Source organism: Homo sapiens, chromosome 11, assembly GCF_000001405.40.
Source record: "Homo sapiens chromosome 11, GRCh38.p14 Primary Assembly".
Taxonomy (NCBI): Eukaryota; Metazoa; Chordata; class Mammalia; order Primates; family Hominidae; genus Homo; species Homo sapiens.
Genome location: NC_000011.10, coordinates 85147268 through 85165883, shown reverse-complemented (window position 1 = coordinate 85165883; position 18616 = coordinate 85147268). Strand labels below are relative to the sequence as shown.

Below are 18616 nucleotides of genomic sequence, written 5' to 3'. Positions count from 1 at the left end.
GAGTTTTAAGAGTTCAGTATTCAGGGAAGAGAAGGCAGCATTTGAGGATTAATACAGAGGTTGCAAACTGGCTGCCCTTATGGAAACTGCAGTGCAGGTTTATATTTTGTTTGGCCTATTGCATGTTAGCTTAGATGATATTTTAAAAATATATAGTTGCTGTCAAAGAACAAAATTTCCTGAAAACCAGTTTGATCATTAAATTAAATTTGTTGAAATCAGGAAGCATTCCATCTATGAAGTAGAAAGGTGTTCTGATGAGCTGAGCAGAGCCTATTGACCTTACAGGCAGAAAGGAGCTGAAAGAAGCAGAACTAAGGAATAAAAAGCAGACTGGTCATTTCAAAGTACTTTCCTTATAGAGTTAAAACAGAGGAGACATTCTTATCAGGTCAGTTTACTTAGATGGGGCCATGGGGCCTCTTCTAATGGGTTGCTGTGAATCTCTTGTTCTTTAGAAAACTGTCCCATTTTAAAGGTCAGTTTGATTATGTGATACCTAGCATGAATGACTCCATTCTGATTTCGTCTGGTCTTTTGGGGCCTAGTGAAGGAACTCAGTCCAAAACAATGGCCTCCCATAACCTCTTTTTTTATGTTGTCAACATTTAGAAGTCAAGCTATTTCACATAAAAATTCAGACTTCTAAGTTCTCTTGATAGTTTTAAACATCTGGCAACAAATGTTTGGAAGTGACTAGAGACTGCACTTGTTAGACAGGCATTAATTTTCCATTGTGCCGAGAATCATCTATCTCTTCGTAAATGTGTCTTATACCTTGCTAACTTGGAATAGTTTAACATTTGTTAACTAGATCAGAGGTTTTCAAACTAGCATGTGTCAGAATCACCTGGAGAGCTCATCGAAGCACAGACTTTAGAGCCCCACCCCTACTGGTTTGATTCAGTAGGTTGAAGAGTTGATCTTGCTAAGACATTGTGGGTGGTGCTGATGCTGCTGGTCTGGGAACCACAATTTGAAAGGATGTGTGGGCAGTAAGAAAGTGGCTCAGGAGTTTAGTATATTAGTTAGTTATGTAGGCTTTTCATTCAGGCAGAAATAGGTTCTGTTTTCTTACCCAGAAAATAAAGATCATAAGCCTACTTCATAAGATGCTTTTTAATCTAATGAGTTAATGCACATAAAATATATATCAGTATCCTTGAAGAGAGGCCTAGCTTATTGTAACTTTTCATTAAATGATTCGGTTTTATTGTTGCTATTACTACTTCTATTATGTCTTTCAACAGAATTGACTCTGGGGAGGAGAAAGTCAGAAATAGATTAAAGTTTTGAAGTGATCAGGGTCTTTTTTTAAATGAAGGAAGAATAGAAGCATAGAAGAAATTTACTATTTCTATGAGAGCATAATTGACAGCAAGTTATCAGGGGATGAAGTAACGGTGGAAACATAAACAAATAGAGAATCAGTCATGATATTGAGACTGAGTGCTTTGTATGTATGTATATATGGGACAACATCTGGTATGAGGTAGGAAGGTTGTAAATCTCACTGGGGCCCAGGGTATGCCACCCAAAAATATGACTATAGGAGACCAGAGTACCAGCCCCAAATATTCCTCTGTGGCATACTGATTTTTTTAAAGCTGGTTATTTTGTGAAACTACAGACACTGAAGTAGCATTGAAAAACTCCCCTTTTATGTAGGAAATTTATATTTATATAGGAGATTTTCATTAGTAAAGATATTTGTGTCAGAAAGAGAGTTAGTCTATGACAACTTTTATCAGATGAGAGACTTTGATCTGCATAACAAGGCAACCTTTATTCACTATACATTTCTTCCCCTCACCTTTCTATAATTTGGCTTCACCAGCCCCAGAAACCCCAAGCCCTTATTTCTTTCTGTAGCTCAGAATGCTAAATAAGCTTCAATCTGGGGAATAAGGGAATTCTGTCCCTTATTTGAGTTTCATATTTTTGTGAGACTCCCATGCATACATGGGTACACATGTTATTAGAATAATGTCTCTCCAGTTAAGCTGCCTTATGTCAATTTAATTTGTAGCTCAGCCAAAGAATGTAGGAGGGTAGAGGAAAGCTATTTTTTTCTCCCCTACAATCCAAGGCATCCAACTCAGCTATAGGGTGGTTAGTAAGGTGGAAGAAGACCCTATTCAATGGGTGGCACTATCTCCATATTTTCAATGATGATAGTCATAGAATTTAAATATTGCCTCCATTCCACATAGGTAGTAGGTGGAAGTGAAAGGATTTTAATCCATTTCTTTCTTACTCTAAAATCTATGCCTTTTCCTTCAGAGCATGCTGCCTTTCAAGCCCACACTATTTTCTATTAGATTGAATACTCCTACTTGCCTAGATAACCTCCTTTGTCTTCAGTATTATTTCAATGTTACATCTTTCAGGAAGCCTTCATGATTCCACAGTCTAATATAGATGCTCCTCCTATACTTTCTATTATCATGATCTATATATGTAATATAAATTACGTATTTTTATATTTCTCTGGCCAATTAGAGTTCTTCAGAGGACAGGCAGTCCATATTAATGTCATTTTGTCTCCAGAGATCAAAAGATAGTTGCTTAATGAATGAAAAAAATAAAAGATTAAATCAGATAGTGTATTAGGGTTCTCTAGAGGGACAGAACTAATAGTGTGTGTGTGTGTGTGTGTCTGTGTGTGTGTGTGTGTAATATATATAAAGGGGAGTTTATTAAGTATTAACTCACACAATCACAAGGTCCCACAATAGGTTGTCTACAGGAAAGCCAGTCAGAGTCCCAAAACTGAAGAACTTCTAGTCTGATGTCTGAGGGTAGGAAGCTTCCAGCATGGGAGAAGGATGTAGGCTGGGAAACTAGGCCAGTCTAGTCTTTTCACGTTGTTTTGCCTGCTTTATATTCTAGCTGTGCTGGCAGTTATTAGATGGTGCCTATCCAGATTAAGGGTGGGTCTGCCTTTCCCAGCCCACTGACTCAAATGTTCATCTCCTTTGGCAACAACCTCACAGACACACCCAGGATCAATACTTTGAATTCTTCAATCCAATTAAGTTGACACTCAGTATTAACCATCACAAGTCCACCCCTTGTCAACTTGAACCCACGTACATCTCCTGAGATCATACATAATCTTCAAATAAAGACAATAATAAGGCCATAATTACATCTAACATAATACAACTATTGTTTGTACAACTGGAAATGCACCAATCCCCAACCCAAATACTACTACATAAAGTTAACAATACTTTAATGCTGATATGAAGTCAATAAATTTTATGTCACATAATAAAGGAAAAAGGAAATAAAATGAAGATATTTTCTTAATACAAGCGTATATATGCTTACACATGTTTTTAACAAAAGTAGGAGGGAATACTCATGACAATTACAGTCCTCATTCTTGCAGCTGGTATTGATGACTACCTTCTTCTACTAACCATTCTGTATTCCCTTTGCCTTCAGCAAGCACCTCAGCAGGTTGTGTGTTTTTGTTTTGCTTTTTTGTTTTGTTTTGTTTTTGTTTTTCCTGGTGGAGTCACCCAAACCTTCATTCCTGAAGGGTCTGAGCCATTTGTAGTCCTTCCTGGATTGGGCTGTTGTCATTTCCCATTGACCTTAATCACAGGGCATGGTAATACTAAGAGAGGCCCTAATGGATCTCCTGTATTCCACGCACACACTTCCTTACTTCCCGTTGTGGAGTAGTACACTGATTTCATCTTGATAGTCCGGGTCAGTCACACCAGCCAACACTATAACTCCCTTCTTAGCCTGTTGACTTAAAAGTGGGAGGAGCCCAAAGTGTCCAGGTGGCAATTCCAGGTTAATGGAATCATTGTGTCTCCTGGTGGCAGAGTTTGTCACTCTTCAACTAAGACCTCTAGGCCAGCAGAACGTAATGTTGCAGGAACAGGGGCAAAAATTTTGCTAGTGGATCACGAGGGGTCATGGTGAATGGTGCCACTTCCACTTCCACCCCTTGATTCCTGGACCTGTGAATCCTGGCTATGGGAGAAATAGTAGCATACATTGGATGCTGATTCAGAGCATACAAAGCCTTCTTGAGAACTTTGGCCAAGCCCTGCAAAGTATTGTCACCTTGTTGGTGTTGTAATTGTGACTTCAAAAGGATATTCCACCGTTCTGTCAATCCAGCTGTTTCAGGATGATGGGGAACATGGTAAGACCAGTGAGCATGAGCATGAGCCCACAATCACAGTTCTTTAGCTGTAAAGTGAGTGCCTTGGTCAGAGGCAATGCTATATGGAATACCATGACTGTGGTTAAGGCATTCCGTGAGTCCACAGGGTAGTCTTGGCAGAAGAATTACGTGCAGGATAGGCAAACCCATATCCGGAGTAACTGTCTATTCCAGTGAGGATAAACCTCTGCCTTTTCCATGATGGAAGAGGTCCAATATAATCAACCTGACACCAGGTAGCTGGCTGATCATCCTGAGGAATGGTGCCATATCGAGGGCTCGGTGTTGGTCTCTGCTGCTGGCAAATTGGACACTCAGCAGTGGCCATAACCAGGCAGCTCAGCCTTGGTGAGTGGAACTGCATGTTGCTGAGCCCATGTATAACCTCCAACCCTACCACCATGGCCACTTTGTTCATGGGCCCACTGGCCAATGACAGGTGGCTGTGAAAAGAGGCTGAGTGATGTCCACAGAACAGGTCATCCTATCCACTTAATTATTAAAATCCTCCTTTGCTGAGGTCACTCATTGGAGAGCAATCCCATGCGATACAAATATCTTCACGGTTTTTGACCACTCAGATATCCATCCACATACCCCTTCCCCAGATTTCTTTGTCACCAATTTTCCAGTCATGCTTCTTCCAAGTCCCTGACCATCTAGCCAAACCATTGGCTACAGCCCATGAATCAGCATATAATCACACATCTGGTCATTTCTCCTTCCATGCAAAGTGTGGAACGAGGTACACTGCTTGAACTTCTGTGCACTGGGAAGATTTCCCTTCACTCTGACCTTCAGCGATGTCCTAGAAAGGGGTTGTAGTGCTGCAGCTGTAGTATGCAGGGGTATGGTGCCTGCATAATTGTGCAGAACCATCTGTGAACCAGGCCCTAGTCTTTTCCTCTGTCAACTGATCATAGGGAACTCCCCATGAGGCCATTGGTGCAGGCTGGGGGAGAGAAGGCAGGGTGGCAGGAGTGGACACCATGGGCATTTGAGCCACTTCCTCATGTAACTTACTTGTGCCGTCAAGACATCCTTGAGCTCAATCATGTATATACCACTTCCATTTGCTGATGGAATGCTGCTGTGCATGACCCACTCTGTGACTAGATGGGTCAGAAAGCATTTAGTTCATGATAGGCAGTTCAGGTCTCATGGCAACTTGATGACCTATAGTCAAACGTTCAGTTTCCACTAAAGCCCAATAACAGGCCAAGAGCTGTTTCTCAAAAGGAGAGTACTTATCTGCAGAAGATGGCAGAACCTTGCTCCAAAATCCTAGAAGCCTCTGCTGTGATTCACCTATGGGGGCCTGCCGAAGGCTCCAAACAGCATCCCTATCTGCCCCTGACATCTCAAGCACCATTGGATCTGCTGGGTCATATGGCGCAAATGGCAGAGCAGCTTGTACAGCAGCCTGGACCTGTTGCAGAGCCTTCTCCTGTTCTGGAACACACTCAAAACCGGCAGTCACTCAATAAATGGGCGGGAGTAACGCACCTAAATGAGGAATGTGTTGCTTCCAAAATCCAAGTACACCCACTAGGCATTGTGCCTCCTTCTTGGTTGTAGGAGGGGCCAAATTCAGCAACTTATTTTTTACCTTAGAAGGAATATCTTGACAGGCCCCACACCACTGGACACCTAAGAATTTTACTGAGGTAGAAGTTCTTTGAATTTTAGTTGGATTTATTTCCCATCCTCTGGCATGCAAATGTCTCACCAATAAGTCCAGTGTGTTTGCTACTTCTTGCTCACTGGATCCAATCAGCATAATGTCATCAATGTAATGGGCCATTGTGGTATCTTGTGGAAGCAAAAAGCTATCAAGTTCTCTCCAAATAAGATTATGACACAGAGCTGGAGAGTTGATATACCCCTGAGGTAGGACAGTAAAGGTCTATTGTTGACCTTGCTGGCTGAAGGCAAATTGTTTCTGATGGGTCTTATGAACAGGAATGGAGAAAAAGTCATTTGCCAAGCCAATGGCTGCATAGCAGGTACCAGGAGTTAATTTGCTCAAGCAATGATACCATATCTGGTACAGCAGCTGCAATTGGAGTCACCACTTGGTTAAGCTTATGATAATCCACTGTCCTTCTCCAAGATCCAACTGTCTTCTGCACAGGCCAAATAGGAGAGTTGAATGGGGATGTAGTGGGAATTGCCACCCCTGCATCTTTCAAGTCCTTGGTGTTGGCACTAATCTCCACAATCCCTCCAGGGATGCAATATTGTTTTTGATTTACTGTTTTTCTAGGTAGAGGGAGATCTAATGGTTTCCATTTGGCATTCCCACCATAATAGCCCTCACTCTACCAGTCATGGAGCCAATGTGGAGGTTCTGCCAGCTTGCAAGTATGTCTATGCCAATTATGCATTCTGGCACTGCAGAAATGACCACAGGATGAGTCCGGATACACTGTAAGTCAGATCCAAGCTAAAGCTCCATGAATTACCTGATCTCTATAAGCCCCTACTTTAACTGGAGGACCACAATGACCTTTTGGGTCCCCTGAAATCGATGTCAGTTCAGAGCCAGTGTCCAGTAATCCCTGAACTGTCTGAACATTTTCCTTTCCCCAGTGCACAGATACCCTGGTAAAAGACTGGAGGTCTCCTTGGGGAAGGAGAGAGAAAAATTAACAGTATAAATTGTTGGTAGTGTAGTAGGGTCCTTCCTCAAGGGGACCTGGTCTCCCCTTCATTCAAGGGGTTCTGGGTCTGTAAACTGACTCAAGTGTGGAAATTGATTGAGGGGCCATGATTCTGTTTTTATAATTCAAATTAGTCTTTTGTCCATTTGACCTAGAAGTTTTCTGCTTGTATACATTAAGTATGAATGCAGTAGGCTTCCTATCAATTTCACTTCTAGAAACACTATGATTAATTAGCCAGTGCCAGAGCTCTACACGAGTCAGACTATTCTGATTGCCATTTTGCCTCTGCTGTCCATTATGGTAGCTATGCTTACCTTGCCTTTGGAGGTTGAGTGCTACCGCTTGGCCCCTGCCACCTCGGGATCCCATTATTCACACTGTATTTAAATTTTTTTTAGTTGAGTGACTGCAGTTCCCACTCTTAGATCTGACATACAGAGTAGAACAATTACAGGGCCCTTCAAAGATGCAGGTGCTGCCCTCACAAATCTATTTTGTAAGGCATTGGTCAAGAATGTATCGTCTGGACCTCCCAGCTGGGATGAGTAGATCTAAAGTGACTAATCCACTCCACCATCCCAATCTCCCTAAGCCTTTGGATCCCTTCCTCTACATTAAACCAAAGGAGATCAGGCATTTCCAGCTCACTCACAGTGGGTTATCTTTTAATCCATATTTCAGCTAAACAAACAAATTATTACAACCTTTTTTTTCACTCGAGCTGCAACATTAAATGCAGAGTCCCTACTTAGTGGGGCCGGATCAATAAATTCAGCCTGATCCAGTTCTATGTTCCTTCCACCATTATCGCACACCCTTAATATCCATTCCCATGCCTGTTCTTCAGATTTCTGTTTATATAAATTAGAAAATTCAAGTAGTTCTTTTTGAGTATAGTGTACCTCCTTATAGGTCACACTCTGAACTTCACCTCTAGGGCCCACTGAGAGGTCAGCCTAGTTATAAGTCTAGAAGCAAACAGGGCTGTTGGGGGTGGCTCCTGAGGAGAATCAACATTATCTTGCCTGGCAACTGCCTCAGGGGAGGGTGTCACTGTTTTCTCAGGCAGTGCGGGGTTTATCTCCTCAGACAACGGTGGAAAGGCTAATGGGTCGGGGAGGGGATGTTGCCACTACTGGGAATGGGGGAGCTGTTTCTTCTGGCAAAAAAAGCTTCGTCAGAGTTTACAAACTCAGTGTTCCCAGCTTCATGAGAGACCTCCCAAACATTGCCATTCCAAGTTGCAGGGTCCCATTCTTTTCCAATCAGTGCCCTCACTTTAAGGGCTTGTGTCTGTTTTCCCACAATTTCATATCTTTCTCTACAGGAGATAAGACTTTCACTCAGGGTAATCTTAGCAGATTTGAGGCTCCGTATCTGCTTCTGAAGCTGGTATTTAGAATCCCTGATTTCATCATTTCCTTTCATCACTTTGTCCACTGAACTCAGGAGCAACCAACCAGCTTCATTATATTCCTTGATTCTCCACATATAGTCAAATGTATTATGTATAGAGTCGCTAAACTCCTTGCCTCTCACGAATGGTGAATCAGGAATGTCAAATGCATTCATCTTGCATAACTCTCTAAACAGTTCATGCCAAGGACTATCAGTGTTCTCCATACTACTAGAAGTAGAGCCTTTAGCATTTTTGGGTCGAATCATGTTAAGCAGCCAACTCCAGAAACCCCCAAACCAATGAAAGGACTTCATCCTTAATATTCTGTCCCTCTAGAATCACATATATATATATGTGCTTATTAAGTATTAACTGATATGATCACAAGGTCCCACAATGGCCATCTGCAAGCTGAGGAGCAAGGAAAGCCAGTCTGAGTCCCAAAACTGAAGAACTTGGAGTCCAATGTTCAAGGGCAGGAAGCATCCAGCATGGGAGAAGGATGTAGGCTGGGAGGCTAGGCCAGTCTAATCTTTTCGTGTTTTTCTGCCTGCTTTATATCCTAGCTGCACTGGCAGCTGATTAGATGGTGCCCACCCAGATTAAGGATAAGTCTGCCTTTCCCATCCCACTCACTCAAATGTTAATCTTTTTGGCAACAACCTCACAGACATATTCAGGAACAATACTTTACATCCTTCAGTCCAATCAAGTTGACACTCAGTATTAACCATCACAAAGAGATGCATAGATAGATGAACAAATGTACAAACAATGAATAAGGGCTCTGATCTGGCTAAGAGAAATGCCGAGCTCAATCACCTTAGGACAACCAGGTAGCCTTTGCCTGGGAAGCAGTCTTTTACTTTGCGCTTAGTCTATGATGGTGGATGTGCCGCCGTGTTCAGTATGATGATGGATCCAATTAGCAATGGTGACAGTGCAGGCTCAATCAGCATCTTGATTCCAGTGGGTCTCATCAGAGGACAGGTCCTTACTATGTACATCTACATGAGAGATACAGTCAGATTGACTGCCCTGATTTATTTGGATAGTTCATGGGACCAAAGAGGAGTGGCCCAAAGAGGGGAGCACAAAATAAAGAGCTCTATGTTTCTGATACAGAGGCTACCTGGGTATCCCAAAGTGGTTGAGCCTGAAACTGCTCTTCATGAGATGACACATCTTCTCAGTTTGTTCATCTATCTATGTATCAACTTTTCATCTAATTTAATCTTTATTTTTCATTCATCAAACAAATATGTATTTATTCTAGAGACTGAAAAACAGTAAGATATCCTGCTTGTCTTACAAGATACTCTAATGGGACAGATAAACATACATAAACACATACATGTAGACACACACACACATATATATACATATACATTTATGTAATTTATAATACAATATGCTAATTACAATGATAGATGTAAACTACGGGAGCAGAGAAGAGGAGAGTCTACAATAGACTAGTATCAGAGAAATCCTTCTGCCCACAGTGGTTGCAAATTTCTCTCCTGTCACAATCAGTGCAGGTACATGTCTCTATAGCTATTGCCTGAAAAGGAGTGGAAATTTCTGTTCACCCACTCCTTTTAGAGTGAATCTTAGAAACTGAGGCCGACTGCTAGGTTGGTGAGGAAGTTCTCCCAGCCAGAGGAGAGTTGGCAAAAACCATTTGGGAGCTGTCCTAGCCTGCAACCACTTTAGAAATTTCTCCTCATTAACGTGCATTAAAGTGAGGGGATTTTTTTTTTTTTTTTTTGATACAGAGTCTTGCTCAGTCACCCAGGCTGGAGCACAGTGGCTCACTGCAACCTGCACCTCCCTGGTTCAAGTGACTCTCCTGCCTCAGCCTCTCAAGTAGCTGGGATTACAGGCGCATGCCACCACACCTGGCTAATTTTTATATTTTTAGTAGAGATAGGGTTTCACCACGTTGGCCAGGCTGGTCTCAAACTCCTGACCTCAGGTGATCCATCCTCCTTGGCCTTCTAAAGTACTGAGATTACAGGTGTGAGACATTGTGCCTGGCCTAAAGTGAGGAATCCTTATTATGCAGTTGAACATTCAGTGTGGTCAGCATGTTTACTACCCAGTTCCTAAAGATGTTCCACGAATCCCTTTCATCAGCCTAGAAGTCTCTGATCCTTCCTCTTCCAGAACACTATGAATCTGTCAGAATTCCATCCTTGTCACTCTCAAGAACTGTGAGGAGTCTAAGATTGTATCCTACTTGCAAACTAAGAATTTAGTCTGCCACAATTTCATCGATGCTGCCAAAAGAATCGTAGGGCAGAGACTAATTACTTGCAACAACAGCAGTAGACTATCAACATCTTCTTGTACCAATTTCTCAAGCCCCAATTTTTACAGTGCAAGGCAAAGATGGTCACATGATACAGTCATATTCAATGGGTCATATTGTAGGTTGTGTTCCCTCAGTTTAGGTAACATCTGTTTTATAATGGTCAGTAAGCAAACCTACCCTTTGCTTTGAAAGTAGACATTATTTTTATCATCTAAAGCTGTAGTTATAAAAAGACAGCCCAAAGCAAAGGCAGTCAATGCCACTGCTAGTTCTGAGAGCTCCAATAGCTTCCATAGAGATTTCTCCAAGCATGAGAACTTATATAAAGTGAAATCAGCCCTCTATCTTCATCTTCCCATTAACCATGCTCAGCTTTAACCAGATCATCCATTTACTTTTGAATAGCCCATGTTCAACACTCCCTGCTGGAAACCTTTGAAATTTAAAATTGGCCTTTGAATAACTGTCCCATTTTATGTTTTCTCTTTGGGAGCAATATAAAAATGGGTTAGATAGTACATTCATATGCTAAAATTGAAATAAGCAACATCTAATATTTATTCAGGCCTTAGATATTTTAATGTGTATATTCAAAGTTTGAAAACAATATACATTGCAGAAAATAAAAAAGGAGTATTGATTTTTTAAACTTTTATTTTAGCTTACAGATTGCAGTGGATCAAAGGAAAATGCTTCATGTATTGAGCAAAATAAAGAAAATCAGAGTTTTGAAAATGAAACTGATGAGACGACAACTGTAAGTGTTATACTGTTTTCTTTTCTTACTAGGCTTCATGGGTAAGACTTGTCTTGTTCTTTGTGGATAGTGCTAGTAGTGTTAAAGAAAGAAAAGAAAATGTGTAACCTAATTTCTAGCTTTGGCCTGGTCAGCATATTGGGTTCTCAGGCTTCTGAGCTGACACTGAATGTGTATCACGTTGAGTAGTTGTGTGTGTTTTATTTTGGGTTCTGTGTTTTAGTACGTAGTCTTCAAGTGCTGGTTATCACACAGTCATTTTGTAAGCTATTTCACTTTTCCTCTCTTGAAAAATACTTTCATTTAACCTAGAAGATGTTAACTATTTGAGACAGTAATAAAATACTAAATGTGCTTCCAGGAAAGGAAGTTATCTAATTTGGCAATGAGACTGTTTTTTTTTTTTTTTTTTTTTTTTTTCTCCAAAAGAAGAGAGGGAGGGTGGGCATCCATGATGGGCTCATGAATACTTAGAAAACACATTTTTGTACTTCCTGGCTGTTCGCAAGGATATTTGTATTTTTGCTTCCTGAAAATGAAGTCATTAGTCCTAAGTGGGATACAAATATGCCAACCTTCCAGGCAGCTAAATTAAATAAATGCTGAAAAATATATTAGAGAAACTTGTTTTCATAATTGGAGAGCATATTGCTAGCTTATGCTGCTTAAATGCTAAAAGCTTCCATTTCCTCATCTTTTAGGGTACTTTTGAAATTTTAATGTGATCCTCAATATGAACATGCTTAGTACTGCTTGGCAAATAGTAGATATTCATGCTATTGAAATAAATTGCAAGTTTTGCATTTATTTTATTGAGTTGATATTTTTATTAACATTTGGAAAATAAAAAGATATTAATGAAAACTTTAGACCTTTAATGAGGAATAAATACTTCATATTTAATATGGTTTCTTTCTTTATTTTATTCCTATTATTTCCTTTGAACAATTTAAAATAATTGGGAGTATTTTTTAGGGATATCTTCTGTGTTTAAATAAACCTAATATGCAAAGCATAAAGCTTGGAGATTTGATATTCCAGAGTCCTAGTGAGAAACAATGAAAATTGTAATCAGCTTATAGAGAAATGATGAATCTTAAAGAAATAATTGACAGGACTTGGTGACTAAGTAAATTGAGAGTTAGGTGGTATCAGCACAAAAATGGGGTTATTTAGAGGAAAGCTGACTAATGGATAGATAGAGTTGACTAATTCAATTATGGGAACAACTAAGAAAATACCTTTAGAGGAGATGGGGCATATTTGTTGAGAACCAAGTGTAATATCAAAAGTAGGACAGTGTGATAGAATGGAATGAACAAAAGATCCAAAGTCAGAGACCAGGATTTGTATCTTGGCTCTATCACAAATTAGTCATGTGACCTCAGGCACATTAAATGACTTTTTATTGTGCCTGAAATGAGATAAAATGAGATTATACCTATTGTTACTATACTATAGTAATATAAAGAGGATGAAATGGGATAGTTATATATGAAAGGATTGATAGGTAAATGCTCTAGATGTTGCATGCAATTGGAGAAATGAGTAGAGCACTAAATGCCTTCAGGAATATTTTGTTTTAGATACTGTTTTAGTTGTTTGATACTTTGGCTAGACTCTGTTTTCTGCTGAAAAAGACAATCTTATGAATTAAAACTGGTTGATTAAGAGACTAAGTAAATACCATGCAAGTACCACAATGGGTGGGGCAGAAAGTTAGGTTTCTTTCAGTAAGAACAGAGAGGTAACAAGGTAGAAACACATTTGACTGTAGGACACATATCAGACTGAGAAGGAAGAATCGTGTAAGAGTAAGTCATAACTGGAAACAGATGTTAGATTATTGTCTTTATACACTTACTATTTGAATGTTCTTGGGCAAGTCACTTAGACTAGCTGTATGCCTCAGTTTCCTAATCTAAACCCTAATCTAAAGTGAGAGACTGATTAGATATTAATAATTTGTGGAGCTGGGTGCGGTAGCCCATGCACTTTGGGAGGCCAAGGTGGTGATCCCAGCACTTTGGGAGGCCAAGGTGTAATCCCAGCACTTTGGGAGGCCAAGGTGGGTGGATCACTTGAGGCCACGAGTTTGAGACCAGCCTGGCCAACATGGTGAAACCCCATCTCTACTAAATACAAAAATTAGCCAAGTGTGGTGGTGTGTGCCTGTAATCCCAGCTACTTGGGAGGCTGAGGCAGGAGAATCACTTGAACCTGGGAGGTGGAGGTTGTAGTGAGCTGAGATAGCGCCACTGCACTCCAGCATGGGTGACAGGGAAAGACTCCATCTCAAAAAAAAAAAAAATTAATAAATAAATAACTTATGAGTTCTTTCTATTATAATACATTTAGTATATTTTGATAGAATGATCATGTACTTTAGAGAATTTCAGCATTGCTCTTAATTATTTTTAGGCTATAGTGTATATTTATACTCTGTTAAATAGCTGCACCTTCTAATTAACAAGAATTTTGTAGCTCAGCTCTATTTTTCTGGTAACTGTTCTTTCTGATATTTAGAAGGGAGCTTCTTTTTCTGAATGCCACTCAGCTGTGGGAAAGAATGTTTTTATGTTTGTTTGTTTTATGGAATGAGAGCAGAATGAGAATCCCTTTGTCTCTATATGTTTACATTAAATGCTTCCCATGATCCTTATTTTAAAAGCGTTAGTTCCGAGACACTAAATAGCCTAATCAATTTTGGAGAATAAGAACAAACTTAGAAACCTCAGACATCCTGATTTCAAAGCTTACTACAAAGCAACAGTAATCAAGATGGTGTGGTACTGGCATAAAGACAGATATATTCATCAGTGAAAGAGAATGTAGATCCCAGAAATAGACCCTTGCATGTATGGCAAATTATTTTAAATAAGGGAGCTAGGACTACCACTGGGGAAAGGATAGTTTATTTAACAAATGGTGGTGGGAAAACTGGATATCTACATGCAAAAGATAAAGTTGGGCCCTTACTTTATACCATATACAAAAATTAACTCGAGATGGATTAAAGATATAAGTAAGACTTTAAACTCTATAATGCCTACAGAAAATGTAATATTTAAACTATAAAACTAATAGAAAAATGTCAGGACACATTGGATTTGGCAACAATTTCTTGAATATGACACCAGAAGCACAGGAAACTGAAAGCAAAAAAAAAAAAACAAATTGTACTGCATCAAACTTAAAGACTTCTGTACATCAAAGAAAACAATGACCAGAGTGAAAAGACAACCAATGGAACTGGAGGAAGTATTTGCAAATCATATATATGTGAAAGCTTTATATCCAGAATATATGAAGAACTTCTACAACTCAACAACAAATAACAAGTAACACAACTAAAAATGGACAAAAGACTTGAATAGAAAATTCTCCAAAGAAAATATACAAATGGCCAATACATCTATGAAAAATGTTCAACCCACTAATCATGAGGGAAATGCCAATCAAAACCACAATTAAAAATCATTTCACACCCATTAGGATGCCTGCTGTCAAAATAACAGAAAATAATGTGTTGATAAAGATGTGGAGAAATTGAAATGCTTGTATGCTATTGGTGGGAATGGTGCCACCATTATGGAAAACAGTATAAAGATTCTTGAAAACTTTAAAAATAGAAATACCGTACGATCCAGCAATTCCACCTCTGGGTAAATATCCAAAAGAATTCAAAGCAGGATCTTGAAGAAATATTTACACAGCCATGGTCATCACAGCCTTATTTGCAATACTCAAGTGGTGGAAGCAACCCAAATGTCCGTTAACAGAAGAATGGATAAAGAAAATGTTACACACACACACACACACACACACACACACACACACACACACACACACACACTATGTAGCCTTAGGAACAAAAGGAAATCCTATCATATGCTAACATGAATGGACCTTGAGGGCATTATGCTAAGCAAAATAAGCCAGTCACAAAAGGACAAACACTGTATGATTCCACTCCTATGAAGTATCTAAAGTAGGCAGACTGATAAAAACAAAGTAGAGAGGTAGTTGCCTAGGGCTGGAGAGATGAGGGAGGGGGAATTAATGTTTATTGGTTATATAGTTTCAGTTTTTCAAGATGAAAAACTCATCTAGGTATGTGTTTCACAGCAATGTAATATACTTAACACTATTGAACTCTACACTTAAGAGTGGTCAGTATTATAAATTTAAGGTTATGTGGTTCTTCTTATGATACAATAATAATTTAAAAACGGAGGCCGGGCACGGTGGCTCACGCCTGTAATCCCAGTACTTTGGGAGGCTGAGACGGGCGGATCACGAGGTCAGGAGATCGAGACCTTCCTGGCTAACACGGTGAAACCCTGTCTCTACTAAAAATACAAAAAAATTAGCCGAGCATAGTGGCAGGTGCCTGTAGTCCCAGCTACTGGGGAGGCCGAGGCAGGAGAATGGCGTGAACTCGGGAGGCGGAACCTGCAGTGAGCTGAGATTAAGCCACTGCCCTCCAGCCTGGGCGACTGAGTGAGACTCTGTCTCAAAAAAAAAAAAAAAAAAAAAAAAAAATTAAAAACTGATGTTTTTGAGTTAATCTTCCCAGAGGGCCAAGTTTGAAAATATTACAGAATCAGCATTAAAGGTAATTTTAAAGGCAATATAGAGTAGTGGCTCTCCTTAGTTTTTAATTGTTTATTGTCACTCTGCTAAAAGGGATTCTGTCATCTGCTGGAAAGCCTCAAGTTGTAGGATATATACCACCTCCCAACGTAGCTCATTCCATCTGGTCAAGTTTGAATTTTGTTAAGTCTCATATATTTATAAAGCTTTATTTAACTAATCAGTCCAATATTAATATATTTTTTTGTTGTCTCTAAAGCAACACAAACACTACAGAAATGATATTATATTAATTGAATACATCTGTATTTAGGATTCTGTTTTTTTATACTTGCTTGAAAACAATGAAGTATATTCTGTTCAGATTTAGAGCACTTAGGACCAAACATTGAAGTTTATGCTATTTACTACCTGGATCAATGAGTTCAGTGATTTTCAAAGTGCAGAAGATTATTAGAACAAAGATGGGATGGGAAGTGGCATCAGATAATCAAGATTTATCCTGTTTCATCCACTTGGTCAATAGAATATTCACCATACTGAAATAAGAGACAACTCAAACAAGTATACATTCCATCCTCATGGATAGGAAGAATCAATAGCATGAAAATGGCCATACTGCTCAAAGTATTTTATAGATTCAATGCTATTCCCGTCAAAATACTATTGACATTCTTCACAGAATTAGAAAAAAACTACTTTAAATTTCATATGGAACCAAAAAAAGCCCATATAGCCAAGACAATCCTGAGCAAAAAGAACAAAGCTGGAGGCATCATGCTACCTGACTTCAAACTATACTACAAGCCTACAGTAGCCAAAACAGCATGGTACTGGTACCAAAACAGACATATAGACCAAGGGAACAGGACAGAGACCTCAGAAACAACACCACATATCTACAACCATCTGATCTTTAACAAACCAGACAAAAGCAAGCAATGGGGAAAGGATTCCGTATTTAATAAATGATGCTGGGAAAACTGGCTAGCTATAGGCAGAAAACTGAAACTTGACCCCTTCCTTATACTTTATACAAAAATTAACTCAAGATGGGTTAAATACTTAAATGTAAACCCAAAACCATAAAAACCTTGGATAAAAACCTAGGCAATACCATTCAAGACAGAGGCATGGGCAAAGACTTCATGATGAACATGCCAAAAGCAATAGCAACAAAAGCCAAAATTGACAAATGGAATCTAATTAAACTACAGAGCTTCTGCACAGCAAAGGAAACTATCATCAAAGCAAACAGGCAACCTACAGAATGGGGGCAAATTTTTGCAATCTACCCATCTGACAAAGGTCTAATATCCAGAATCTACAAGGAACTTAAAGAAATTTACAAGAAAAAAGCAACCCCATTAAAAAGTGGGCAAAGGACATGAACAGACACTTCCCAAAATACGACATTTATGCAGCCAACAAACATATGAATTAAAGCTCAACATCACTGATCATTAGAGAAATGAAAATCAAAACCACAATGAGGTACCATCTCATGCCAGTCAGAATGGTGATTATTAAAAAGCAACAAACAATAGATGCTGGTGAGGCTGTGGAGAAACAGGAATGCTTTCACACTCTTGGTGGGAATGTAAATTAGTTCAACTGTTGTGGAAGACAGTGTGCCAATTCCTCAAAGATCTACAACCAGAAATACCATTTGACCCAGCAGTCCCATTACTAGGTATATACCCAAAGGAATATAAATCATTCCGTTATAAAGATACATGCACATGTATGTTTATTGCAGCACTATTCACAATAGCAAAGACATAGAACCAACCCAAATGCCCATCAATTACAGACTGGATAACGAAAATGTGGTATATACACACCATGGAATAATATGCAACCATAGAAAGGAATGAGATAATGTCTTTTGCAGGGACATGGATGAAGCTAGAAACCATCATCCTCAGCAAACTAACACAAGAACAGAAAACCAAACAACACAAGTTCTCATTCATCAGCTGGAGTTGTACAATGAGAACACATGGACACAGTGTGGGGAATAACACACACCAGGGCCAGTCAGGGGGTGGGGGGCAAGGGGAGGGAGAACATTAGGACAAATAGCTAATGCATGTGGGATTTAAGACCTAGATGATTGGTTGATAGGTGCAGCAACCCATGGCACACGTATACCTATGTAACAAATCTGCACATTCTGCGTCTGTATCCTGGAACATAAAGTAAAATAAAATAAAATAAAAGAATATTGACCATACTGGTTCATCAAGTCAGTAGTTAAATAACTTTGGGTAAGTCAGTTTTTCTTAGTCTGAGTTTCTTTACCTGTAAAATTATACTTAATTCATTGGTTATGAATACTTAATGATATTATGCATATGAAAATTTATACTTGGTAAATGAAAAGTTAATGGTTATTTGCAAGTCATATATTAGATAAGGGGTTAATATCCAAAATTTATAAAGAACTTATACAACTCAGTAGTGGAACAAATAACTAATTAAAACATGGGCAAAAGACTTGGGTGGATATTTCTTCAAAGAAGACAGAAATGTCCAACAGGTATATAAAAAGAGGCTAAACATTATCAATCATCAGGGAAATGCAAATCAAAACTACAATGAGAAACCACTTCACGCTCATTAGGATGGCTTTATCAAAAAGTCAATAGATAGGAGGGAGGCAGAGGAAGATGGCTGAATAGAACGTTCC

At 39.2% G+C, this 18616-nt stretch overlaps 1 protein-coding gene across 13 annotated transcripts in view; it reads left to right on the top strand.

Moving 5' to 3' along the window:
- The window catches only part of DLG2 (discs large MAGUK scaffold protein 2), a 2173362-nt gene that overhangs the window by 462490 nt on the left and 1692256 nt on the right, over positions 1–18616 (top strand). For all 13 annotated transcript variants that reach the window (NM_001351274.2, XM_017017256.3, XM_047426494.1 and 10 more), the window contains one exon: positions 11233–11328. In NM_001351274.2, the coding sequence (NP_001338203.1) occupies positions 11233–11328 (96 nt within the window). The remainder of the gene's footprint in view (positions 1–11232; positions 11329–18616) is intronic.